The 24,939-nt window shown below is 49.6% G+C and overlaps 2 protein-coding genes across 25 annotated transcripts in view, besides 9 other annotated features; both read right to left on the minus strand.

The window, feature by feature from the left end:
* SRSF4 (serine and arginine rich splicing factor 4) overlaps positions 1–1,577 on the minus strand; it is a 34,158-nt gene extending 32,581 nt beyond the window's left edge. For both annotated transcript variants that reach the window (XM_011541951.4, NM_005626.5), the window contains exon 1: positions 1,323–1,577. In XM_011541951.4, coding sequence (XP_011540253.1) covers positions 1,323–1,429 — 107 coding nt within the window. In that variant the 5' untranslated portion in view covers positions 1,430–1,577. The remainder of the gene's footprint in view (positions 1–1,322) is intronic.
* MECR (mitochondrial trans-2-enoyl-CoA reductase) overlaps positions 1–24,939 on the minus strand; it is a 63,239-nt gene that overhangs the window by 12,628 nt on the left and 25,672 nt on the right. For 9 of the 23 annotated variants that reach the window (NM_001349717.2, NM_016011.5, NM_001024732.4 and 6 more), the window contains 6 exons: positions 22,808–22,910; positions 21,620–21,722; positions 20,193–20,266; positions 15,875–15,935; positions 15,618–15,690; positions 12,334–13,856 (listed from right to left, as the gene is read on the minus strand). In NM_001349717.2, coding sequence (NP_001336646.1) covers positions 13,699–13,856; positions 15,618–15,690; positions 15,875–15,935; positions 20,193–20,266; positions 21,620–21,722; positions 22,808–22,910 — 572 coding nt within the window. In that variant the 3' untranslated portion in view covers positions 12,334–13,698. Of the gene's footprint in view, positions 1–6,286; positions 6,434–12,333; positions 13,857–15,617; positions 15,720–15,874; positions 15,936–20,086; positions 20,267–21,050; positions 21,196–21,619; positions 21,723–22,807; positions 22,911–24,939 lie in introns of those variants that run through there. The other 14 variants (XM_011541540.3, XM_011541546.2, XM_011541539.2 and 11 more) reach the window with 9 other exon arrangements.
* Positions 1,176–1,365: a silencer, noted in NCBI's record as "silent region_553". NCBI's record gives its function as "represses an Ori minimal core promoter by ATAC-STARR-seq in GM12878 lymphoblastoid cells {active_cell/tissue: GM12878}" and the evidence as "EXISTENCE:reporter gene assay evidence [ECO:0000049][PMID:35858748]".
* Positions 1,416–1,625: a silencer, noted in NCBI's record as "silent region_554". NCBI's record gives its function as "represses an Ori minimal core promoter by ATAC-STARR-seq in GM12878 lymphoblastoid cells {active_cell/tissue: GM12878}" and the evidence as "EXISTENCE:reporter gene assay evidence [ECO:0000049][PMID:35858748]".
* Positions 1,630–2,267: an enhancer, noted in NCBI's record as "H3K27ac-H3K4me1 hESC enhancer chr1:29508465-29509102 (GRCh37/hg19 assembly coordinates)". NCBI's record gives its function as "activates a minimal SCP1, AML or CMV promoter by ChIP-STARR-seq in naive H9 embryonic stem cells {active_cell/tissue: H9 hESC(naive)}" and the evidence as "EXISTENCE:reporter gene assay evidence [ECO:0000049][PMID:30033119]".
* Positions 1,696–1,925: an enhancer, noted in NCBI's record as "active region_609". NCBI's record gives its function as "activates an Ori minimal core promoter by ATAC-STARR-seq in GM12878 lymphoblastoid cells {active_cell/tissue: GM12878}" and the evidence as "EXISTENCE:reporter gene assay evidence [ECO:0000049][PMID:35858748]".
* Positions 2,268–2,905: an enhancer, noted in NCBI's record as "H3K27ac-H3K4me1 hESC enhancer chr1:29509103-29509740 (GRCh37/hg19 assembly coordinates)". NCBI's record gives its function as "activates a minimal SCP1, AML or CMV promoter by ChIP-STARR-seq in naive H9 embryonic stem cells {active_cell/tissue: H9 hESC(naive)}" and the evidence as "EXISTENCE:reporter gene assay evidence [ECO:0000049][PMID:30033119]".
* Positions 6,290–6,935: an enhancer, noted in NCBI's record as "OCT4-NANOG-H3K27ac-H3K4me1 hESC enhancer chr1:29513125-29513770 (GRCh37/hg19 assembly coordinates)". NCBI's record gives its function as "activates a minimal SCP1, AML or CMV promoter by ChIP-STARR-seq in naive H9 embryonic stem cells {active_cell/tissue: H9 hESC(naive)}" and the evidence as "EXISTENCE:reporter gene assay evidence [ECO:0000049][PMID:30033119]".
* Positions 6,936–7,580: an enhancer, noted in NCBI's record as "NANOG-H3K27ac-H3K4me1 hESC enhancer chr1:29513771-29514415 (GRCh37/hg19 assembly coordinates)". NCBI's record gives its function as "activates a minimal SCP1, AML or CMV promoter by ChIP-STARR-seq in primed H9 embryonic stem cells {active_cell/tissue: H9 hESC(primed)}" and the evidence as "EXISTENCE:reporter gene assay evidence [ECO:0000049][PMID:30033119]".
* Positions 17,954–18,454: an enhancer, noted in NCBI's record as "H3K4me1 hESC enhancer chr1:29524789-29525289 (GRCh37/hg19 assembly coordinates)". NCBI's record gives its function as "activates a minimal SCP1, AML or CMV promoter by ChIP-STARR-seq in naive H9 embryonic stem cells {active_cell/tissue: H9 hESC(naive)}" and the evidence as "EXISTENCE:reporter gene assay evidence [ECO:0000049][PMID:30033119]".
* Positions 22,709–22,798: a silencer, noted in NCBI's record as "silent region_555". NCBI's record gives its function as "represses an Ori minimal core promoter by ATAC-STARR-seq in GM12878 lymphoblastoid cells {active_cell/tissue: GM12878}" and the evidence as "EXISTENCE:reporter gene assay evidence [ECO:0000049][PMID:35858748]".

Here is a 24,939-nt window from a genome sequence, read left to right on the forward strand (position 1 = left end):
TAAGAACTGAACGTTTTACTGTAGAAAAGGAGTAGTTTTTAAAGCCTTTTACTGTAAAAGAAATCAGTACTTTACTAAAGACGTCCTCAGAAAGAAAACGATTCTAATAATTAATTTGAAATGGCTTTTTAAACCCAAATCATCATTTGAGAATACGGTAGCTACCAGTTTTCTCATACGTGAAACATACTTAGGTAACTTTCAAAATGTTTCAGGTGTCAGTTACTAGTATAACCCTGGGGAGTAAACGGTAGCTATATTACAACTGTTGCAAAGTAGAGTTTCTTTTTTAAGCCAAGAGTTCTCTAACACCCAAGGTTTAGTGCCCTAAAATGTCACCCCAGTCCTTTTAATTTTATATCCATGCCTTCCAAGCCCTACCTAACATCTGGTTCCCAGTTTTCCCCGTTGAGTATTTTCTCCAGGCCTGATTCCTCAACAGTTTTCCCTAAAACCTGTAGCTCATGCTGGCACTATTTTTGCCGAAGTAGATTAAGAATACAAGTAATAGATCATACTCTGGGGGAGGCAGTAAGTTAACAATTTCGTCTCCGTCTGCGTTAACCAGACGCAGATACTAGCCAGGGTGGCCACTATTCTCCTAACAAATTCTACAACGGCCAAGCAATTTTTCGGTAAGTTGGAAAACGGAAACCACAGCGTGGAAACTCTGCACGGAGTCTTAAAGATAAGAAGTTAAGACTTTAATTTACTCTTGCAGAGGGAACGGTGAAGGCTTTCAGCACGGCAAGACGATACTTTCGAAACTGTCACTAGACTACTCAAACTGGAGTCTCCCGCCCAAAAAAGCGTGGCACACGGCTAAAAAGGGCCTCCCTCCAAGGCTCCAGTCCTCGGGGAAGACGGCGCTGTGACCGTCTGATCCATGAGACCGGGCAAGAGGTGAAAGGGAGCAGGAAATCCTGTTTATTTCCAGTAGTCCTCAGAGCGGGAAAGGTTGGTGTCTACCCAGAAACGAATAGGGCCCCAGTTCCGGGCCTAGGAAGGGAAAACCCAGGTCTCCCGGGCGCCCTGGAGCTGTGCCCCCCTGCCCGGAGCACCAGCCCCACTCGGGCTTTCCTTCTCCCCGTCCCACTCAGGGCCTCAGCACAGCTCCCATTATGCCTCCACCACCCCCACCCGCGCAGGCGCAGTGGGAACCGGGGCCTACCCGCGCCCCCGAGGCGCCGCCACTATGGCGGAGCCTGGCCAGGCCGGTAGCCGCTCCGCGCGGACCAGGCGTCCCTCTCCCGTCCCCGCGGCCTCCCCACCACCTATGGGGTCTGTCCCCGCCCGGCCGGACCCTCTTTCGCCCTCCTCACCCGTTCTTCAGATCCACCTCCAGGATCTTCCCGTAGCCCTTAAAGAAGCGCTCCACATCGCGCTCCCGGGCCTGGTAGCTCAGGCGGCCGATGTACACCCGCGGCATCCCGGCAACGGCAGTGATGGCTGGCCCCGGCCCCAGCCCCCCTTAGGCGGCGGCGGGCAAAGCGAGAGCACGGCGGCAGCGGCGGCGGCGGCAACGGGCGGGCGGCGGGACGGACGCAGCCGAACCCCGGCGACGTACGCGAGCACGCAGCTCGCGAGCGCGCGCTTCCACTTCCCCCGCCCTTCCCCGAGGCGGAAGGTAACCGGAGAGAGCGCGCGTTCGCTTCCCGCTCGGCCAGGACTGGGGGAGGAGCTTGCCCGGGGGCGCGCCGACGTGCGGCGGGGCAAGGTGATCGACAGGCGGCGCTGCGGCACGTCCTCGCGCGAGCTCGCCAAAGGGGTTCCTGCACCGCCTTCCGCAGCCAGCTGGCTTCGCCCCTCCCCCGGAAGTGTCCGCACCTCCTAGAGCCCAGCGAGCGAGCGTTTGTGCTTTTGTCCTTTGAACCGGGTGTGGTTTGGATTTCGGAGCTGGAGCTTTGGAATCAAACCTAGCTTCCAAACGATTGTGTACCCGTGACCTTGGGCTTGTTACGCGCGATGTCTCGGACCCTCCTTTATCTTTTCTGTAAAAGGGGGAGAGTAGTTCCTACCTTCCAGAGTTGTCTTGAGAATTATATGAGAATACGTACATAAAGCACTTAGTAGTTTTGTCATATCAAGTGCCCAATAAATGAGACCAGTATTATTTTTAAGAGGACACTGCTTAAATAGAAGCAGTGTGAGAAGCGGAGAAGGCTGGAGCTTTGGAGCTAGACTAGGCATGACGCCGAGTAAATTACTTGACCACAATCCAACCTATTTTTTTTTTTTTGAGACGAGTTTCGCTCGGTCGCCCAGGCTGGAGTGCAGTGGCGCGACCTCAGCTCACTGCAACCTCCGCCTCCCGGGTTCAAGCGATTCTCCTGCCTCAGCCTCCAGAGTAGCTGGGACTACAGGCGCCCGCCCCCACGCCCGGCTAATTTTTGTATTTTTAGGAGAGAGGAAGTTTCACCATATTGGCCAGGCAGGTCTCAAACTCCAGACCTCAGGTGATCCGCCCGCCTTGGCCTCCCAAAGTGCTGGGATTACAGGCGTGAGCCACTGCGCCTGGCCTATCCAGTCTATTTTCTAACCTGTAAAATTAGAATAATGTATACCCATCTCAAGGATTACACAGGTCACTAAATGGGGTAGTGTATGTGAAAGTACTTGGAACAGTGTCTGAAACATGGTAAGAGCTCAATAAATATTGGTTCCCTTCTCACTAACGCCATGTACCTAGAACCATAAAGGGTTTTGTTTCTTTGCTTGTTTTTGTTTTTTGAATATTTTGAAAGGATAACTCAAGGTTCAAATGATACACAGTGAAAAGTCTTCGCTGTCCACCAGCCACTTAGTTTCTCTTCCCAGAGGCAGTTTCTGAAATGTCCTTTAGGAGGTTAATTTACCCTTATAAAACAAATAGTAGGATACTATACATATGGTTCTACACAAAATATATTTTGAAAATCATTCCTTAAGAGTATAAAAGGACTAGTTTTATGGTTCATACCATTTTATACACAGTAATTTATTTAGCCAGTGCCCTGGTGAAGGACATTGAAATAAGTTCCAACCTTTTGTTATTACACTGCTGCAGTAACTTTGCATTTCTCTCTCTCTCTTTCTCTCTCTCTCTATATATATCATCTATTCCTAGAAATAGGATATTTGGGTCAGAGTTTTGATAAGTTATTGCTCAATTCCCCTTAAGTGGCTGTTTCCTCATATCCTCATCAACACCGTGTTATCAAACTTTTTGATCTTTGCCAATCTGAGAGGTGAAAAATGTTATCTCCAAGTGGTTTAATTTGCAAATATCATATTTTGCAGAGATATGAGTCTTTCTTCATATGTTTGAGATATATTTTCCTATTTCTGTCTGTGTATATCCTTTACCCATTTTTCTTATTCATAGGTGCTCACTATATATTAGGAAAATCAGCTCTTTGTCAAATGAGTTGCAAATATTTTTTCCATTTGTTGACTTTTGACTTTGCCAAGAGTGTTTTTTAGCCATGCAAAAACATTAGATATTTATGGGATCAATTTATCCATCCTTTATTTTTCTTTGATTCTGGATTTTATTTTTAAATTTTTATTTATTCTACTTTTTTTTTTTTTTTTTGAGACTGAGTCTCGCACTGTCGCCCAGGCTGCAGTGCAGCGGTGCGATCTCAGCTCACTGCAACCTACGCCTTCTGGGTTCAAGCGTTCTCCTTCCTCAGCCTCTAGAGTAGCTGGGATTACAGGCACCTGCCACCACGCCCGGCTAATTTTTTTGTATTTTAGTAGAGAAGGGGTTTCACTATGTTGGCCAGGCTGGTCTTGATCTCCTGACCTCGTGATCTGCCTGCCTCGGCCTCCCAGAGTGCTGGGACTACAGGCGTGAGCCACTGTACCCGGCTTTTTTTTTTTTTTTTTGAGATGGAGTCTTGGTCTGTTGCCCAAGATGGAGTGTAGTGGCACTATCTTGGCTCACTGCAGTCTCTGCCTCCAGGTTCAAGCAATTCTCCTGCCTCAGCCTCCCAAGTAGCTGGGATTACAGGCATGTGCCACCACGCCTGGCTAATTTTTTTGTATCTTTAATAGAGACTGGGTTTCACCATGTTGGCCAGGCTGGTCTCAAACTCCTGACCTCAGGTGAGGTGGCGTGAGCCACCGCGCCCGGCAAGAAATCTATTTTGAAAGTAATAATTAGTGGCTGGGTGCGGTGGTTCACGCCTGTAATCCCAGCGCTTTGGGAGGTTGAGGCAGGAGGATCATCTGAGGTTAGGGATTCAAGACCAGCCTGGTCAACATGGGGAAACCCCATCTCTACTAAAAATACAAAAAATTAGCCAGGTGTGATTGTGTGGGCCTGTAGTTCAGCTATTCAAAAGGCTGAGGCAGGAGAATTGCTTGAACCCAGGTGGCAGAGGTTGCAGTGAGCCGAGATCGTGCCATCACACTCCAGCCTGGGTGACAAGAGCAAAACTCCATCTCAAAAACAGGCCACAGCGCCCAGCCTATTCTACTTTTTTAGAGATGGAGTCTCGTTGTTTTCCTGCCTGGTCTTAAACTACTGGGCTCAGGCCAGGCACAGTGGCTCACACCTGTAATCCCAGCACTTTGGGAGGCCGAGGTGGGTGGATCACCTGAGGCCAGGAGTTCGAGACCAGTCTGGCCAACATAGTGAAACCCTGTCTCTATTAAAAATACAAAAAATTAGCCAGACATGGTGGCAGGCGCCTATAATCCCAGCTACTCGGGAGGCTGAGGCAGGAGAATAGCTTGAACCCAGGAGGCGGAGGCTGCAGTGAGCCAAGATTGTGCCATTGCACTCCAGCCTGGGCAACAAGAGCGAAACTTTGTCTCAAAAAAGAAACAAACAAACAACTGGGCTCAAGCAATCCTCCCTTCTGGACCTCCCAGTGTTGAGATTACAGGCATGAGCCACTGCACCCAACCTCCTATTTATTATTTTATTTTTTAAATTTAATTCAATTTTATTTTTTGAGACAGAGTTTTGCTCTGTCACCCAGGCTGGAATACAGTGGCATGATCTTGGCTCACTGCAACCTGTGCCTCCTGGGTTCACACGGTTCTCCTGCCTCAGCCTCCTGAGTAGCTGGGACTACAGGCCCGTGCCACCATGCCAAGCTAATTTATGTATATATATTTTAGAGACAGAGTTTAACTCGTTGCCCAGGCTGGAGTGCAATGGCACGATCCCCGCTCACTGCAACCTCTGCCTCCCGGTTTCAAGTGATTCTCCTGCCTCAGCCTCCTGAGTAGCTGGGATTACAGGCATGTGCCACCACGCCCAGCTAATTTTGTATTTTTAGTAGAGATGGGGTTTCTCCACGTTGGTCAGGCTGGTCTTGAACTTCCAACTCCAGGTGATTCACCCGCCTGGGCCTCCCAAAGGGCTGGGATTACAGGTGTGAGCCACCTTGCCCGGCCATAATCTTTAATTCATTTGGAATTCAGTAAGTGTGAGGAACATAACATTCTTAAGAACTAGCAATCTGGCCTGGGCAACATGGCAAAAACCCGTCTCTGCAGAAAAAACAACAAAAAAAATTAGCCAGGCATGGCGGTGCATGCCTGTAGTCCCAGCTACTTGGGAGGCTGAGATGGGGGGGATCTCCTGAGCCCAGGGAGGTTGAGGCTGCAGTGATCTGTGATCATGCCACTGTCCTCAAGCCTGGATGTCAGAGTGAGACCCCATCACATGCACACACACACACAAAAACAACAAAAAACCACGAAAACAAAAATCCTAGCACTAAGCTTGGTTGTTATATTAACCTATTGTACAGATGGGAAAGAGAGCCCTCCAGAGGGGAAATGCTTGTCCCTAAAACCTGCTCCTCCTTCCCCAATGCAAGTGGCACCACCATCAGCGAGGTGCCAAAGTTCAACCTTCAACCACTGCATTCAGTCTGTCCTTCTGATTATTCCTTCTAAATATTCACAGATTCATTCCTTCTTTCCATTCCTACTTCCTAAACTAGTTCAGGCCTCATCAGACTGTTCACAGTCAGGGCTTTGATATGCGCTACTTCCTCTGCCTGGAATACAGCTGGCTCCTTCTTATTCAGGCCTGAGGCCTTCCATGTCCACCTTATTTCAAGTGTTGTTTGTCATATTTCACAACACTTACTACACAGTCTGTAATTACCTGGTTTATTTATTTACTTGTGCATGGTCTTTCTCCACCACTGGAATGTAAGCTCGCTGGTCTCAGGGGCCATGTTTTTTGTTTCCTGCTCTATCCCTAGCCCCTAACAACAGTGCCTTTCACATAAAGAGCGTTTAAAATACTTATTGAATGAATACATAAATAATCTCTTACCTGGACTACTTCAATGGCCTCCTGATTCTGCCTTTTTCTCATGCCTCCCCATGAGACACAGACTCAGGGAAATTTGAATGCTCTTCCAGTTGACATGTCAAGAACAAAATCAAGGACTCGTGAGAAGAGTGGGACCTCCAAGGCCACCTGTGGAGCCAAAAGAATTGGGACTGTCTGCTGTAGTGACCAGATATGGTCAGGGGATCTGGCTTCTAGTGCCAGCTCTGCTGCCTGCTGTGTGATCTGGAACAACTCACTTCACATCTCTGGGAGGCTGCTGCTTCTGTAAAGTGGTGACATTAACATCTCAATGACATAGGAAATTTCTAAGAATCTCTTTTTTCTCTTTCATAAGGTGCCAATGTCTCCTTTCCACTTACCTTTCAGCTAGCCCTGCTGTCTTCCCAGGAATGTTCCTGCCTTCAGATGCAAGCAGATGTTGTGCCAGGACTGAGCCTTCTCTTCTCCACCATTTCCAGCTGCTGTGGCTTGGCCTAGTGCTTTACTCAGGGCATGGTGCCTGACAATAAGCATGGGGCTGGTGGGTGTTCTGAGAGTTTCCATGCACAAGTACAGCCTGGCACACACAGGTTAACGCAAGAGCTTTTCTCTTTTCTTTTTTGAGACCGAGTCTCACTCTGTTGCCCAGGCTAGAGTGCAGTGGTGAGATCTCGGCTTACTGCAACCTCCGCCTCCGGGTTCAAGCGATTCTCGTGCCTCAGCCTCCCGAGTAGCTGGGACTACAGGCATGAGCCACCATGCCTGGGTAATTTTTTTTGTATTTTTAGTAGAGACTGTGTTTCACTATGTTGGCTGGTCTCGAACTCCTGACCTCAGGTGATCTGCACACCTCAGCCTCCCCAAGTGCTGGGTTACGGGCGTGAGCCACCATGCCTGGCCGCAAGAGCTTTATTCTTCTCGGCCTCAGTCTTCCCCTGAGGAAAGTGTGCGTAATTATCTCATATCCCAAGAAAACACATTTATCAAATTTTTTTTCCTTTTTTTGTTGAGACAGAGTCTCACTCTGTCACCCAGGCTGGAGTGCAGTGGTGCGATCTCAGCTCACTGCAACCTCTGCTTCCTGGGTTCAAGCGATTCTCCTGCCTCAGCCTCCCAAGTAGCTGGAACTAAAGATGCACGCCACAGGCCAGGCGAGGTGGCTCACGCCTGTAATCCCAGCACTTTGGGAGGCCCAGGTGGGTGGATCATGAGGTCAGGAGATCGAGACCATCCTGGCTAACATGGTGAAACCCCATCTCTACTAAAAATACAAAAAAATTAGCCAGGCGTGGTGGTGGGCGCCTGTAGTCCCAGCTACTCGGGAGGTTGAGGCAGGAGAATGGCGTGAACCCAGGAGGCGGAGCTTGCAGTGAGCTGAGATTGTGCCACTGCACTCCAGCCTGGGCAACACAGCAAGACTCTGTCTCAAAAAAAAAAAAAAAAAAAAGACGCACACCACCATGCCTGGCTAATTTTTGTATTTTTAGTAGAGATGGGGTTTCACCATGTTGGCCAGGCTAGCCTCGAACTCCTGGAGAGACCAGATCTTGAGGGGCCTCAAGGATCATGGGAAGGATTTGGAGTTTACTTTTTTTTTTGAAATGGAGTCTCACTCTGTTGCCCAGGCTGGAATGCAGTGGTGCAATTTTGGCTCACTGCAACCTCCACCTCCTGGGTTCAAGCAATTCTCCTACCTCAGCATCCCAACGAGCTGGGATTACAGGTGCCTGCCACCACGCCCGGCTAATTTTGTATTTTTAGTACAAATTAATTTAGTAGAGACAGGATTTCTCCATGTTGCTCAGGCTGGTCTCGAACTCCTGACCTGAGGCTATCTGCCTGCCTTGGCCTCCCAAAGTGTTAGGATTAAAGGCATGAACCACTGCGCCTGGCCTCCATTTACCAATATTGTGGCAGCAACTATAGGTAGTCACTGGGTGGATGGTCCCAGAAGAGGACAGGGAGAGATGGCAGAGTCAGGAAGCTGCAGGGCTTCAGGTGCGCTCAAGCTTTTTTTTAGCAGGTAATGCCTATTTGTCTTTTTTTTTTGAGACAGTTTCACTCTTGTTGCCCAGGATGGAGTGCTATGGCGCGATCTTGGCTCACTACAACCTCCACCTCCCGGGTTCAAGCAATTCTCCTGCCTCAGCCTCCCGAGTAGCTGGGATTACAGGCGCCCGCTACCATACCCGGCTAATTTTTGCATTTTTAATAGAGATGGGGTTTCACCATGTTGGCCAGGCTGATCTTGAACTCCTGACCTCATGATCTGCCTGCCTCTGCCTCCCAGAGTGCTGGGATTACAGGCGTGAGCCACCACGCCCAGCCTATGTTAACTTTTTTGTATGAGACGGAGATTCACTCTTGTTGCCCAGGCTGGAGTGCAATGGTGCGACCTCGACTCACTGCAACCTCTACCTCCTGAGTTCAAGCAATTCTCCTGTCTCAGCCTCCTGAAAAACTGGAATTACAGGCGTGCACCACCACTCCCGGCTAATTTTTGTATTTTTAGTAGAGACGGGGTTTCACCATGTTGGCCAGGGTGGTCTCGAACTGACCTCAGGTGACCCGCCTGCCTTGGCCCCCCAAAGTGCTGGGATTACAGGTGTGAGCCACTGTGTCTGGCGAATTTTTATATTTTTAGTATAGACGGGGTTTCACCATGTTGGCCAGGGTGGTCTGGAACTGACCTCAGGTGATCTGCCTGCCTCAGTTTCCCAAAGTGCTGGGGTTACAGGTGTGAGCCACCACACCCAGGCAATTTTCGTATTTTTGTAGAGATGGGTTGGGGGGGGGTCTCCTCATGTTGCCCAGGCTGGTCTCGAACTCCTGGGCTCAAGTGATCTGCCCGCCTCAGCCTCCCAAAGTGCTGGGATTACAGGCATGAGCCGCTGTGCCCGGACCGTCTGAAATTAAAAACAATCTCCTGCACTTGTAAAGTAGAGAAGAGAGGATCCATTTTAAGTCCAATTCTCTTTTGGCACTGTTTCCTTTCCAATGTTGGCCTCTGAAATGTCGGCAACCCCTGGTTGGTCTTTGACATTTAGTGGAAGGGGGCGGGGTGGGCTTACCTACCTGAAATTCAGAACCTGGGAGTCTCTGATTTTATCTTTCTTTAGTGCTTCCCTCCTCCAAACTGTCCTCCGGGCTACTGCTGGAGGGATTTTTTTTCAAAGCACAGTTCTGATCTTCTGTCTCAGAAATCTTTTGTTCCTTACTGCCAACACAATAAAGTCCAAATTCCTTAGCTGGGAATCATAAACTGCCACGATTCCCTTTTTCGGCTTCAGATTGACTTGATTTCAATCTAAGTTAAACCATTGAATTTGTATTACTTAGGATTAGGTTCAGTGAAACCCCAAATACTAGGGGCTTGAATAAAACAGACGCTTATTTCTCATGTAAAACAAGTCCTGAGGTGGGCAGTTGGGGATTCTGGGTGTCAGGGAGCCAGGCTCCTTTGATCTTGCTGTACATAGTCAAGGCCGGGCGCGGTGGCTCACGCCTGTAATCCCAGCACTTTGGGAGGCTGAGGCGGGCGGATCACGAGGTCAGGAGATCGAGATCATCCTGGCTAACACAGTGAAACCCTGTCTCTACTAAAAATACAAAAAAATTAGCCAGGCGCGGTGGCAGGCGCCTGTAGTCCCAGCTATTCGGGAGGCTGAGGCGGGAAAATGGCGTGAACCCGGGAGGCGGAGCTTGCAGTGAGCCGACATCGCGCCACCCAGACTCCGTCTCAAAAAAACAAAACAAAACAAAACAAAAAAAAACCGTAGTCAAAGATGGCTGGGTAAACTCCAGGAATCATGTCTGTGTACCACAGCTATAAGGAGGGTGGAAGGGGAAGGGGAAGAAAAAGGTACAGGATGCAGGCCTGCTATATTTTAAAGAGGTTCCTGGGCAGGGCGCAGTGGCTTACACCTGTAATCCCAGCACTTTGGGAGGCAGAGGCCAGCGGATCACCTGAGGTCAGGAGTTCGAGACCAGCCTGTCCAACATGGTGAAACGCTGTTTCTATTAAAAATAACAAAAACTAGCTGGGCGTGGTGGCAGGTAATCCCAGCTACTCGGGAGGCTGAGGCAGGAGAATCACTTGGACCTGGGAGGTGGAAATTGCAGTGAGCCGAGATTGCACCACTGCACTCCAACGTAGGTGACAGAGCAAGACTCCATCATCTCTCCAAATAAAAAAAAAAAAAAAAAAAAGAGGTTCCTAAGAAACTGACGCCTAACACCTCTGCTTACATCACTTGCGGGGGCAGATCTTGTTAGCTGCAAGGGATGCAGAGAAACAGTGTTTATTCCGGCCTGCCATGTACCCACCTAAAAGTTGTAGGTTTTAATTCTCAGGAAGAGAATGGAGAAAATGAGACAGTTCTAACATAAATACCCTGTCTCTGTAACTGCCTAATCTGCTCTCTTCGTCTGTAATGCTTGTCACCCTTCCCTGAATAAATTATAATCATCCTTTGAAGACCAGCCCAAATGTCACCTCCAGACCCCTAAAGGTACAAGGAATCATTGCCTTCACTGTTCTCAGGCATTCTGCACGTTCCTCCAGATCTTGAAGCGTGGTGTTACAAACATTCCTGTATGCCTGCTCTTAGAGTGGGCACCAGGGGCCTGCTCCTTCACCAGGACTCAGGCTCACCACTCTCCCTAAACCCCAACCTTATGGATTCCCCTTGAAGAATCCTATTTTTTTTTTTGAGACAGAGTCTCTCTCTCTTGCCCAGGCTGAAGTGCAGTGGCGTGATCTCAGCTCACTGCAACCTCCGCCTCCCAGGTTCAAGTGACTGTCCTGCCTCAGCCTCCTGAGTAGCTGGGACTACAGGCATGTACCAGCACGCCTGTCTAATTATAGGTGTGAGACACCTCACCTGGCCTAAAGAACCTAATCTTAATTTTACTCCTGTGGCCTCTGGCAGCCTTCCCTCCTTCTAAGGCTTTTTTCACTTGCCTGCACTGATCATCTGTACAATCACTTGTCCCACTAACCTAGAGGACAGGGACCAGGAAAGAGTTGGGGCTGATCTTGAGCCCAGAAGGTGGCAAATATTCCCCAGAGGGCAATGCAGACCTTTCCCAGCCCCAGGCTGAAGCTGAGTCCTTTTTTCCAGCGGACATAAAAGATGCTTCCAAAGAAAAGATGATTATGCTGGGAGTCCATGTTCAAACTGGCATGCAATTAAACCTTCTGGCCGGGTGTGGTGGCTTACGCCTGTAAACCCAGCACTTTGGGAGGCCGAGGTGGGTGGATCACGAGGTCAGGAGTTCAAGACCAGCCTGGCCAACATAGTGAAACCCCATCTCTACTAAAAATACAAAAATTAGCCAGGTGTGGTGGCATACACCTGTAGTCCCAGCCACTCGGGAGGCTGAGGAAGGAGAATCGCTTGAACCCAGGAGGTTGAGGCTGCAGCGAGCCAAGATCGCCCACTGCACACCAGCAAGGGCAACAGTGTGAGACTTCGTCTCAAAAAAAAAAACAAACATTCCGAGCCAGTTTTTTCCATATTGCTCCACTGCCTAAAATCCCTTGGTGCCTCCCTAGGGCTTCAGGGTAAGCCCTGACATCATGGTCCTTTGTGATCTGTACCTCACCCATGTCTCCCACCTCAGTTCCCACATTTCCCCCACGTCTAAGGCAGCAGCTACACTTGACTGCAGTTCCCTGAGTGCCAGGCTCTCAGGCCTCTAAACTCTCATGTGCTGTTGGCTTTGCTTGGTACGCAGTTTCCTGCTCGGTTTTCAAGACTGGCTGTGGGAGACACTTCCTCTAGGAATCCTTCCTTGATGCCCTCGGGCAGAACTGGGGCCCCTGTGTGTCCTCTCAAGGCCCTCTGAACACCTCCATGTCAGTGACCTCATCATTATACTATACTGGTCAATCTTGCACTAGGCTAAGCAACCTGAGGGCCAGCAGCACTTCTTTCATTGGTATCCTTAGCTTTGGGCACACACTAGGCACTCAATAAATACGTCCTGAATGAGGCTCCTGAGTGCAGGGTACAGAGGGCCAGGTGATAAGGGAGACACCCTGAAGCCTCTGTTCTTTGCTTTGAGCAAATGAATCGTGAAGCAAATACCAAAAAGTCACGTCAAGCTCTTCTCTCGGCCTGAATAAAGCTCACTCATTTGTGAGAGCCCACCTTCAAACTTCACCTCAAGGAAGCATACCCCTGTCCCTGGGGCCTAGGGCAAGATCTTTATTCTGCTCTTACAGCACCCCACATATCTTCTTTACAGCATTAGTCACTATGGTAATTACTGTGAGATTGTTTAATGCACGGTTTATCAACGACCTCATGAACATTGAACATTTGGGGCTAGATTTTTTTTTTTTTTTTGATATAGGGTCTTGCTCTGTTGCCTAGGCTGGAATGCAGTGGCATGATCATGGCTCACTGCAGTCTAGACCTCCCAGGCTCAGGTGATCCTCCCACCTCAACCTCCCGAGTAGCTGGGACTACAGGTGCACAGCACCATACCTGGCTAATGTTTGTATTTTTTGTAGAGATGGTGTTTCACCACGTTACCTAGGTTGACCTTGAACTCCTGGGCTCAAGTGATCCGCTTGCCTTGGCTTCCCAAAGTGCTGGGATTACAGGTGTGAGCCACCGCGCCAGGCCTTGGGTAATTCTTTGTTGCAGTAGACTGTTCTGTGTCCTGTGGTGGGTTTAACAGCAGCACTCACTCTGCCTGCTAGATGCCAGTAGCAACCTCCTTCATAAGCTGTGATAGCCAGAAATATCCCCAGACATTGTCAAATGTCTCCTGGGGGTAAAATTGCCTCTGGTTGAGAACCACTGGTATATTGTCTATGTCTCCAGTTAGAAGGGCAGTTCCATGAGAGTGAAGACCCCACGTCCAAGTTCCTCAGGGCCCTGATGACCTCAGCCTGGCATTCACTCTTCCATGCAGCTGATCCTCCCCAAGCCCTGGACTGGGCCGCAGGCTACCTGAGAAGCACATCAAAGCGTTTGTTCTACAGGACCCTCGTCTGTGGGCTTGTGCAGCTTGGGGCCAGGGATGGTGGCCTACTGGCCTTTGCACTGCCAGTACCCACCCAGGCTTTGCTTTCAGGGTGGTCAGAAAATGATTACTGGGGGAACACATGACAGAAAAGCAGGAAGGGGGCCTCTTGGTGCTGTGAGCTGACCAGTGCACAGTGTTGGTCCTTCTCGACAGGGATGACTTCTACTTTTTGGAAGGGAGAGTTCAGACTTTATTAGATACCTTAAGGCTGGCCCTGGGGAAAACCGTGGCTGGCTTCACCATCCTCCTAATAGGAAGAGGCAGTGAGGAGAACAGTAGTCTGGGGAAGGTGGGAGCCCCAACTGAGGGGCCTGCACCCAGCCCCTCAGATCCGCCTCCCCTCCCATGTCACTCCAGCTCTTTTGGGATGATCACATGGTGAGAATCTGCTTTGAAGATATGAAGGGCTTCATGGAGGCTTCCAAGGCAGACTGGTAGTCCTGCAGCGGGACCTGGGAGCAGGCAGGGGCTGTGAGCTGGCCTCGGCGGATGAGATCGCACAGTGTGAGGATCAGCTCCTTGAACTGGTCTGCGGGAGGTTGGAGGAAATCAGACAAGAGAACAGCAGCTGGGGCTTGGTGAGATGTGGCACGGGGCTGCCCTATGGGCAGGAGCTGGCACCAAGCTCCAATAAAGCCTTGAGAGTCCTGGCTGTGCCAAGGATAGGGTGGCTGTGGAGGCAGCCTGGTCCCTGCCTGTCTTTAGGACAGTGAGGTCAAGGTGGGGAGAGGGGAACATAGGAGCGGCTCTAGGGGCTGAGGGGCAGACAGGCAGAGACCACCCTTCAGAGTGGTGGCTAAGATGGCACAGACTCACAGAACCTGGCCACAGTGGAGACAGGAGCACTGAATGGTGGGAGGAAAAGGATGGCGGAGGCAGGGAGGCCAGAGGAGGCCCAGAGAGGGAGTGGGTATGCCTGGCACGCCAAGTGATGTGGAACAGTTGAGCTCTGCTCAGGAAATGGAGCTCTCCCTGAGAGCCCAGGACTCCCTTAGAACCCCACGACCGGACGCCACCAACATCCCCTTCCTGGGCCTGCCTCCTGCGAAGGACCCTATATGGTACAGGAAGTTGAGAAGTGAAGGCCTCGGCTGAGAAGTGTTTTTCCATAGACATAAATTCATTCAGCCTTCAAATCTAGTCATCTATACTGGCTCCTCAGTTGCCTTTAAGCGTGAGTCTTGTCTGGGTGTGGTGCCTCACGCCTGTAATCCCAGCACTCTTGGAGGCTGAGGTGGGTGGATCACTTGAGCCCAGGAGTTTGAGACCAGCCTGGGCAACATGATGAAACCCCATTTCTACTAAAAATACAAAAACTAGCTGGATGTGGTGGCGTGTGCCTGTGGTCCTAGCTACTTGGGAGGCTGAGGTGGGAGGATCACCTGAACCGAGGAGGTTGAGTCTGTAGTGATCTGTGACCACACCACTGCACTCCAGCCAGGGCAACAGAGCGATACCTTGTTTCAAAAAAAATAACCCCCCAAAACAGCAAAAAAACCCATGAGTCTGAATGCCTTAATCAGGTTTATAAGGCCTCTGTAACCTGGTCACAACCCACTCACCCAATTTTCCAGCCCCAGCTCAGATCTAGTGCTCCAGGTCGCTCGGAACCGCTTCAGTGCCTAGTTGCACGTGTGATTTTCGATATTTTCTGCCTGAAACACTGCCTTCATGCCACCACCTTCCTCCCCTTCACTTGGATAACTCCATGTTATTCTTTGTCCTGAGTTTGGAGATCCCGCTCTGGGGAGCCAGTCCTCCAGGAGATGAACAGGGAGATGATCTGTTTACATCGTGCCTCATACCTCCCTGCAGGGAGGTGACTTTGGGCACGCTACTTAACCACTCTGAACCTCAATTTCCTCCTCTGTCAAACACGGCTAACAAGAGTTTAAACTTAGGACATTTAAACTGAGGCAGAGATTAAGTAACTTGCTCAAGGTCCCACTGCTGGCTAGGCAGAACCTCTATCCAGTAGTGTGGAAGCAGAATTTGAACCCAGGCAGGCTGGCTCCAGAGTCTATTCTCTCTGTTTGGCTATCCATCTTTCCCCACTGTCAGCTCTTCAGGACGGGGGCAGTGTCTGTCTTGTTCTGCGCCCCTAAGACTAACCCAGTTTAGTCCAATAACTGTTTGCTGACTGTAGCTGGACTAAGGCTATTCTCTTTGATCCTTCTGTGGGGCTGGGGACCCAATCACCCCTCCAGGGCTCAGAATAGCTGGTCATTTCTGCTGCCATTTTTAGGCACTGCCCTCATCTGTGACTCTTGGCACTGGGCCATGCACTCACCTGGACTGTGATCCTTCTTCCACTGGGACAACCAAAAGCCTCGAAGTTTGAGATCCTTAAAAATGAGCAGGCTCTGCAGACACAGGAAGGACATGCTGGGCTCTGAGGGCAAGAACTTCAGGTACCGCTTAAGGGTACAGACTCCCCTCCAGGAACGGGGCATTGCCTAAGCTTAGACAGCTGTCGTGCCAGGGGATGTGGCCTGGCTGAGGTGTCTGGCCCGGCTCCAGGCATGCCTCCCTCTGCACCCAGCTTACCACAGAGGCTACGACGGGCTGCTTGGCCATCCCCCCATAGGTTACCATGGTTCCTCCACGCCTGAAAAGTCCAAAGAGAACAAAGAGTGGATGCAAGGCAGAGACAGAGCCCTTCCTGAACCTGCCATGGCGCTTCTACTCCAACCCTGGTTCCTTTATAAACCCTGCTCTCAGAATCTCTGGGAAAGGTTGAAAAATACAGATTCCAGCTGGGAGCAGTGGCTCATGCCTATAATCCCAGCACTTTGGGAGGCTGAGGCAGGTGGATCACTTGAGCCCAGGAGTTCAAGACCAGCTTGGGCAACAAAAGGAGACCCCATCTCTACAAAAAAAGTACAGAAAATTAGCTGGGCAAGGCGGCATGCCTGTAGTCCCAGCTTCTCAGGAGGCTGAGGTGGGAGAATCACCTGAGGCCATGAAATTGAGGTTGCAGTGAGCCCTGATCGCACTACTGCACTCCAGTCTGGGCAACAGAGTGAGACCCTGTCTCAGAAAATAAATGAATGAATGAATAAATAAATGCATGCTGGGGATGGCAGCTCACACCTGTAATACCAGCACTTTGGGAGGCCAAGGTGAGAGGATTGCCTGAGCCCAGGAGTTTGAGACCAGCCTGGGCAACATAGTGAGACCCTGTGTCTATAAATAATAATAAAAAAAAATTAGCTGGGCACGGTGATACATGCCTGTGGCCCCACTCAGGAGGCTGAGGTGGGAAGATCACTTGAGCCTGGGAGGTTGAGGCTGCAGTGAGCTGAGATTGCACTGCTGCATTCCAGCCTAGGCAACACAGTGAGACCATCTCAACACAAAACAAAACAACCAAGAAACCAGATTCCTAGGTCCAATCCCAGACTCAATGAATCAGGAGACGAGAATGTATATTAAACACACACACACACCCGCTCTGGATGACTTGTATGTTTAGCCAGGATTGGGAATCCACTGATCTAACCCATCCAGTCAGGCTTTGATTAAGTGCTGAAAAGAAACATGCTCTCCCCAGATGAGCTCGAGGCCTGAGTTCAGCCTTGGCTCTGCTCTCACTTACAGGTGTCCGACCTAGGGTGATGCAGTGAAAATGGCCCAGACCTCATCTCTTCATCTGCCAGTGCTCATTCTAAGAATCAACGTGAGGAAACAGCTCTACAGATAAGGAATGATGTGGACGGTGCAGGGAACAATGACAAGCATCTTCTCACTGCAGGAGGTGCCTTCTCAGTACCTGCTGTCTGACACCCACACCCCCATGTCAGCTGACATACAGGATTGAGGCTAACATAATTTTTAAGTGAATAAGCCTGGAGTTCACTTGACTTAACCTATGTTCACCTCCCCACTCCCTGGCTCTTCTAGGAGTCTGTTGATTAAGGATGACCTCAGGCACATTTGGGGACAACACAAGGTAGACTTTCAAAACTACCAAATGGAAGGAGCTGCTGTCCTAGGGCAGGTACTTCTGTCCCTGAGGCTGCTGGGTAGTTTGGTCTTAAGTGCCCCTTGACTGCCACCTGCTGTAGAAAGTAGCTCCTGGGAGCCAAGCCCTCTCTCTTCTGTATCCCTGCTGCACTTCATCTAATCAGACTAGCTGACACTTACCAGGCTTCTACTATGTGCCAGGCACAGTTCTAAGCATTTTGCATGCACTGCCTCAGGGAATCCTCGTAACAACCTTGTTTTAGAGATGAGAAAGCTGAAGTCCATCCGTCATTTGTACAGCAATTTGTATATCGCCCAGTGTCCTTTAGACCAGCGGTCCCTAACCTTGTTGGCACCAGGACCGGTTTCATGGAAGACAATTTTTCCATGGACTGGAGTGGGGGAGATGGTTTTGGGATGAAACTGTTCCGCCTCAGATTCTCAGGCATTAGATTCTCATAAGGAGCATGGGACCTAGATCCCTTCCCTGCGTGCTTCACAATAGGGTTCACATGCCCATGAGAATCGAATGCTGCCACTGATCTGTCAGGAGGCGGAGCTCAGGTGGCCATGCTCGCTCACCCACCGCTCACCTCCTGCTGCGTGACCTGGTTCCTAACAGGCCACGAACTGGTACTGGTCTGCGGCCTGGGGGCTGGGGACCCGTGTTAGACCACCCTTCAGAGGCAGAGGGTTTATATAACCCCCATTTTACAGATGAAGAGACGGAGGCCTGGATTGTTTTTCACGTATTGCCTAACTTTCCACAGGCCCACAGCTAGTAAGTCACAGAGCAGGGGCTTGAACCCAGCCATTCTGGCTCCAGTGCCTACACCCGTAACAACGCTTCCCCCTGCAATGACATTGGGATTGAGGTCTGCCGCAGGGGTTGTCTGTCAGGTATAGGGCTGAAGCGGTGTGCTCAAATGTGGGGTCAAGCCTGGCTCTCCTGCTGCCTAGACTTTGGGACAGGTACTTGACCTCTTTGGGCCTTGTTTTTTTTTGTTTGTTTGTTTTTGAGACACACTGTTTCTCTGAAGCCCAGGCTGGAGTGCAATGGCACGATCTTGGCTCACTGCAACCTCTACCTCCTGGGTTCAAGCAATTCTCCTGCCTTAGCCTCCCAAGTAGCTGGGATTACAGGCACCCACGACCATGCCTGGCTAATTTTTGTATTTTTAGTAGAGACGAGGTTTCACCATGTTGGCCAGGATGGTCTCGAATTTTTGACCTCAGGTGATCCACTTGCCTCGGCCTCCCAAAGTGCTAGGTTTACAGGCATGAGCCACTGCGCCCGGCCTGGGCCTCATTGTTTAAAAGTATAAAACAGAGGTTAGAACTGCACCCCCTGTCTAGGTGGTTGTGGGAAGGGTAAGTCAAGCGCTGCACACAGTCTGGTGCATGGTGAATACTCACCACAGTGCTCTGGCCACGTGACTCACCTGCTCATCAAGCCTGTGAATTCTCAGAGGGCACATCAGTGTCGCAGCCCTCTCTGTACCTGGTAGCTAGTAAGTGCTCAGCAAGTATGCGCTAGCTGAATCCGTACTATTGAGGGGGTTCCTGCTTTAATTAGGAAGTGTCTTTTTACACACACTCTAGCTCAAGAAGCTTTTATTTTTATTTTTTGAGACGGAGTCTCCCTCTGTCGCCCAGGCTGGAGTGCAGTGGCGCAATCTCGGCCCACCGCAAGCTCTGCCTCCGGGGTTCACGCCATTCTCCTGCCTCAGACTCCTGAGCAGCTGGGACTACAGGTGCCCGCCACCACACCTGGCTAATTTTTTGTATTTTTAGTAGACACGGGGTTTCACCGTGTTAGCCAGGATGGTCTCGATCTCCTGATCTCGTGATCTGCCCGCCTCAGCCTCCCAAAGTGCTGGGATTATAGGCTTGAGCCACTGCGCCCGGCCTAGAAGCTTATATTAAGGGAAAGAAGAATGGAAGGACATGCATTAATATTGTCAACAGGGCTTATCCCCCTTGGTAGTGGGGTGATAGGTAACTTTTTTTTTTCTTTTTTGAGATGGAATCTCCCTTTGTCACCCAGGCTGGAGTAGAGTGGTGTGATCTCGGCTCACTGCAACCTCCACCTCCTGGATTCAAATGATTCTCGTGACTCAGCCTCCCAAGTAGCTGGGATTACAGGTGCCTGCCACCACACCTGGCTAGTCTTTTTGTATTTTTAGTAGAGATGGAGTTTTGCCATGTTGGCCAGGCTGGTCTTAAACTCCTGGCCTCAAGTGATCTGCCTGTCTTGTTGGGATTACAAGCATGAACCACTATGCCTGGCCAGGTAACTTAAAAAAAAAATTAATTTTTTTTTTTGTAGTGATGGGGTCTCACTATGTTACCCAGGCTGGTCTCGAACTCCTGGCCTCAAGTGATGCTTCCTCCTTGGCCTCCCAAATTACTGGGATTATAGGCATGAGCCACAGTGCCCAGCCAACAGGAAACTTTTATGCTTAAGTTTTCCTTTGCACTTTTACATGTTTTCAAAATGTTTTGTAATAAGCATAATGTTACCTTTAAAATTAGAATCTATTTTAAAAGCTAATACAAATTTTGAAAGGTTAAATAAGTTAGGACTAAGTGACTTTTTCAGACATCCCTAGGTTATAAATCCTTGACTATTCCTCTATGGCAGGCAGCTTAGCAGTCTACTTCTGGGGTCCCTTGGAAAAATAAAGCTGGATAGGCCAAAATTTTGGTCATCTGCAAAGGGGAAGGCTGAGAAACCAGTGCCCAAATAGCTGGATGACTTTGGTCCTAGTTTCCACTCAACATTGTGCTGACCTGGACTTGGCTCGAACTGGCGATGGGACTCAGTCACTTGATGGTCCTCCCAGCTAAAGACCTGGAGAGCTCTGGCGAGCTGGACCTGCAGGCCCAAGGGACTTACGCTAACTGCCGCAGCAGCTCTGTGGAGCTTTTCCCACCAACACAGTTGAGAGCAAGCCGTGGCTGGGGCATGTCCTGGAAAACAACAAAAGTGCAGTGAGGGAGCATCCCCGCTCTACATATGGGGTCTGAAGCTTGCCCAAGTGCTGTGTTAAAAGGAGGGAGTAAATGAGATGTTTATGCCTTTGTTTGCGTGCACGTACTTATGTATATGTGTGTGTGTTTATGCCTTTGAACTCACCTTTTTCTCTGCTTAGGAAGTGTCTTTTCTTTCTTTTTTCTTTTTCTTTCTAAGACAGGGTCTCGCTCTGTTACCCAGGCTGGAGTGCAGTGGTGCAATCATGGCTCACTGCTACCTTACCCTCCTGGGCTCAAGCAATCCTCCCACCTCAGCCTCCCAAGTAGCTGGGACTGCAGATGAGTATCATGATGACCAGATAATTAAAAAAAAATGTTTTTTTGTAGAGACAGAGGTCTCACTATGTTGCTCAGGCTAGTCTCAAACTCTCAGACTCAAGCAATCCGCCTGCCTTGGCCTCCCGAAGTGCTGGGATTACAGGCATGAGTCACCTCATCCAGCCAAGAAGGGCCTTTTCTGTAGCAACTTAATCCTGTTGTCCATTTTAGGACCTGGCAGAACTCATCTTCTCTGGGAAAGAATAGGCAAAGGGCATCTGCATGCAGTTTGGTGGGTTTCAGCTCCCTGTGTGCCCCCCTTTTCAGTTCTTTGACTCAGCTGATATTATATATGCTGATCTACTGCTTCAGAAATGTTCGCAAGAAGCGCATGCTCTTGAGTGTGTGTCTTTGGTTCCTCCAGATGGTTCAGTGAAAAGGGGCTGAGGGTCTGGTCACTTACTAGGCATGTTGTGGGGTGGAGGTTCTGGAAGGTTAAGAGGCTTTGAGTTCGGAGAGACTGAGGCCAGCTCTGACTCTCTGGAGCCCTTATAAACTATATGATTTTGGTTAAGCATTTCCTCTTTTCTGAGTCTTAGTTTCCTAATCTGTAAAACAGATAACAGTTCCTTTGAAAAGCTTTTGTGGAAATCATCAGATAAAATGTAAGGCAGGTGGTTGGGAAAGGTTACTTCTTTTCTTTCTCTTTCTGTGTCTCTGTTTCCTCAGGTCCTCTCCTGCCAGTTCTAAGAGTCACACATGTGGGCTGATGCGGCCCACCACAAACGTTTAAACTGCAAGTCATACTGGGTTTCCTAAACTCTGTTTCTCATGCCTCCCTCCCAGCATCTGGGCACTTAATGCGTGCTGCCTGCCGCCTGGCTAGGGGGAATGGGCTTTAACCAACCAAGAGGCAAAGGGAGGTTTCCAGAGAGGAACAATGGGGCCAGTCCCCAGTTTCTCTAATGCATGTCAACTTTCTTCAGGGAGATGTGCGTGGACTGGAGGGGCAATGTCCCTCTTCCTAGGTACCTTAAAGAAGTTTTTCATTTCGGGCCTTCTTAGCTCCTCTTCTGTGATGACATGCTCAGCCCCCAGACTCTTCAGTCTGTCACTCAGCTTCTGGATATCAGGTCTGGAAACCAAACATAGGTCCCTGGTCACATCTGCCAGCTTTTTCCACCAAAGCCCCCCAGGACCTCTCTGCCACAGCTGGGAGAACCCGTGCTTCTTTTTGCAGGAAGCTGGGATTAGGTTTAAGCCAGGCTTGAGCAGGGACCAGCCACCTAATTTCATGCAGCTTCAATAGCTCTTGGCTGTCTCCTCACTGGCAACAGAGTGAGACTGGGTGGTTTTCACAGGCCCTGACAGCTCAATAGTGTTAGAAGCCATCTGTGCCCAGGGAGAAGTCACTTAACTTCCTGATTTCTTCTACTGAAAGGACAAACTCCACTTCCCCCCTCTTTTCAAGTGGTTCTTCAGAGTGTTGGACATACACAGTCTAGACCAGGAGTGGCTCTGGGTCTCTTTGGTTAAGGCAAATGGAATTATTTTTGCGAGTACAACTGAGGAACTGAAGCTGGTGTCGATTATACTAAGAGTGGGCTTCCATGACAGCCACAGCCACATTCATGGACAGTGAGGCCTAGAGAAACTGGACGATATGATGGAAAGAGAGTAAGTGAGGAAACCGAGTCTATTACTGACTTGCTGTGTCTTCCAGGGCAAGCTGCTCCCTGAAACTTCAGTTTCCTCATCTGTAAAAGACAGATGACAAACCTGCCCCTGTCTCCTTCACGTCTGTATTTAGCGCACTTCCAAGTACCACACAAAAGCAAGGGTAAAGGGGCCTTGGGTTAGACAGTTCACAGAAAGAATAATACAGCTCAAATCATTCCCAAATATCAACTGGGGTTTTGAAAACATGAGGTTATCACAAGCCAAGAGTCTCAGAAAGTCTTAGCTATTCAGTAAGGGCAGTCTCCACCTCCTTCCTGCCCTCTCTTTACATGTCAGATTCACTCATCCTATCGCCAAAAGCCAGCTGGACTTCATTTCTTAGGACTGACTCATCTGTTTCAGCCGCCAACTGTTAGCGATGCCTAAAGCCAGTTTATGCTTATGCAAGGGCGCCCTCTGGTGGACAACTGGGCACCGCAGGGATGGGAGGTGGGAAAGACCCAAGACATGGTCTGGGATGAAGCCTCCTTCCCCACGCACCTGTCTCGGACCACATTGATGGTTCTTAGGCCCAGGGCTGCGGCGATCTGGATGACTGCTTGCCCCACTCCGCTGTTGGATGCATTCTGGATGACAGAATCCCCTGTGGAGCCAGGAAGAGAACCAAATCAAGCCCTGTATAGATCTGCAATAGGTCAAAGGCTCCCAGCCGGGGATCCTTCTGTAGGCAAGGGAGTCCTCAGGCTCAACAGGGACCCAGGACCTGGCTGCTGAGTCTTCTCAGACCTTCCACTGTTTCTCACTGTTCTCCTAATGCCTCCTAAACTTCCACAACACTCACGATGCCTCCCAGGACTTGGCAACTCAGCATCTACACTGGATATAATTTAGACCCTGCCCTGCTATGTAAAATATTTTATAGCCTTCGTCATCCTCCCAACTTTTATGTCCTCAAGTCTTTACTTAGGTTATTTCCTTGGTTTGCAATGTTTCCCTCCTTCTCTCTTCCTTCCTATTGAAATCCTGTAGATCCTTTGAAGCGCAGCTCAAGTGCAGCCTTCATGAAGCCTTCCTGGATTGTTCCCTCTATGTGCTCCCACAGTGCTCTGTGGGCATCTGTATTAATGCACATACCACGGTCTGCCCCATCTTACACTTCATTGTATATAGGTCCATTTCTATCAACAGCTTGCAGCTTCTTGAGAGGGAAGGGTCATGCCCTATTCCTCTCTGCAGTGTTTAATAAAGGTGCACTGCCTTGAAATGGGATTACAGCTGCGCTGGAGAAACTGGCAGCCCCTGAAACAGGGTCCTACAGTTCTGTGGCAAAGCCCAGGTTTAGCTTTGGACCTGGCCATTGGGGAAGGCGGTGTGACATGCTGGGAAAAATGTGGGCTCTGGAATGAGACAGATCTGGGCATGAGTCTCAGTTTCACCAATGATTGTAACTAAACAGACAGGGCAAGTCATGACCTCTGTGAACTTCAGTTTCCTTCCCTTAAAATATAATCCCAGCTACTAGGGAGGCTGAGGCAGGAGAATCGCTTGAACCCGGGAGGTGGAGGTTGCAGTGAGCTGAGATCGCGCCACTGTACTCCAGCCTGGGTGACAGAGCGAGACTCCCTCTATTAAAAAAAAAAAGTGCCCCCGATTAGAGTCAAATGCATCGTGTCCGGGAAAGTGCTTTGTTGAATTTGAAATGCTATCTGGTTTTTGAGAGGCAGCAGGGATCTGTCACACAACGGGCTGAAACTAGAGATAGAGGACTTCCTGGAAGAAGAATGCCCACTCGTCTTCACCAGGGGTCAACGTACAGGTTGTCACCCACCAGTGGATTATGAATCAATCTAGTTGGTTGCAAGCACCTTTTTTTTTTAAAGTTAAAATTGAGAAGAGAATAAAAAATAACAGAGTATGTCACACATAGTAAGGGTATTTCACGAAACTTTGGTTTCCATTATATATATATTCCTATTTGTATAAACTGATCACAATATAAAATGTAATTCTTACCATGTGTCAAGATCCTAAGTTTATTCAACAGTGATCTAGTTCAGGCCATATCAGCCTTGAGGCAGGAAAGTGGAGAGGTGTGCAGTGGGTACTTAGGGTGGGCAGCGTCGAAATGCCTAGATCTGTTACTACAGCTGCAGCCTAAATGGGAGGTGGCTTTAGGGCATGGGATGCAAGCAAACAAAGTGTCTGCTGCACTAGGACTCCAGCAAAGGTCCCTGGTCACAGCCACTGGCTTTCTCCACCAAAGGCTCCCAGGAACCATCTGCCATAGTTGCAAGAAACCTATATTTCTCTTGTGGGAACTGGCATCGGCTTTCAGCCAGGCCTTGGACAGTGGCTGGGCACCATGTTTCATCACACTCCAACAACTGTGGGCCTCAGTTTCTTCGCTGGTATGAGAGGTGGCTTGGGTGAGTTCTACAGCCACTGCGGCTCACGGATGTGCATGGATGTGCATGGTGTGCAGAGGCAGCCCAGGAGGTTAATGCCCTTAGGGCGACCCTTAAACAATGGGGTGTGAGAATTAGTGGAAAACTGGCCCAGCCTCTCATCATTCAAGGGTTAGTTTTTGTTTTGTTTTGTTTTGTTTTGTTTTTGAGATGGTGTCTTGCTCTGTTGCCCAGGCTGGAGTGCGGTGGTGCAATCTTGGCTCACTG

The sequence above is a fragment of the Homo sapiens genome, chromosome 1 (assembly GCF_000001405.40).
Source record: "Homo sapiens chromosome 1, GRCh38.p14 Primary Assembly".
Classification (NCBI taxonomy): Eukaryota; Metazoa; Chordata; class Mammalia; order Primates; family Hominidae; genus Homo; species Homo sapiens.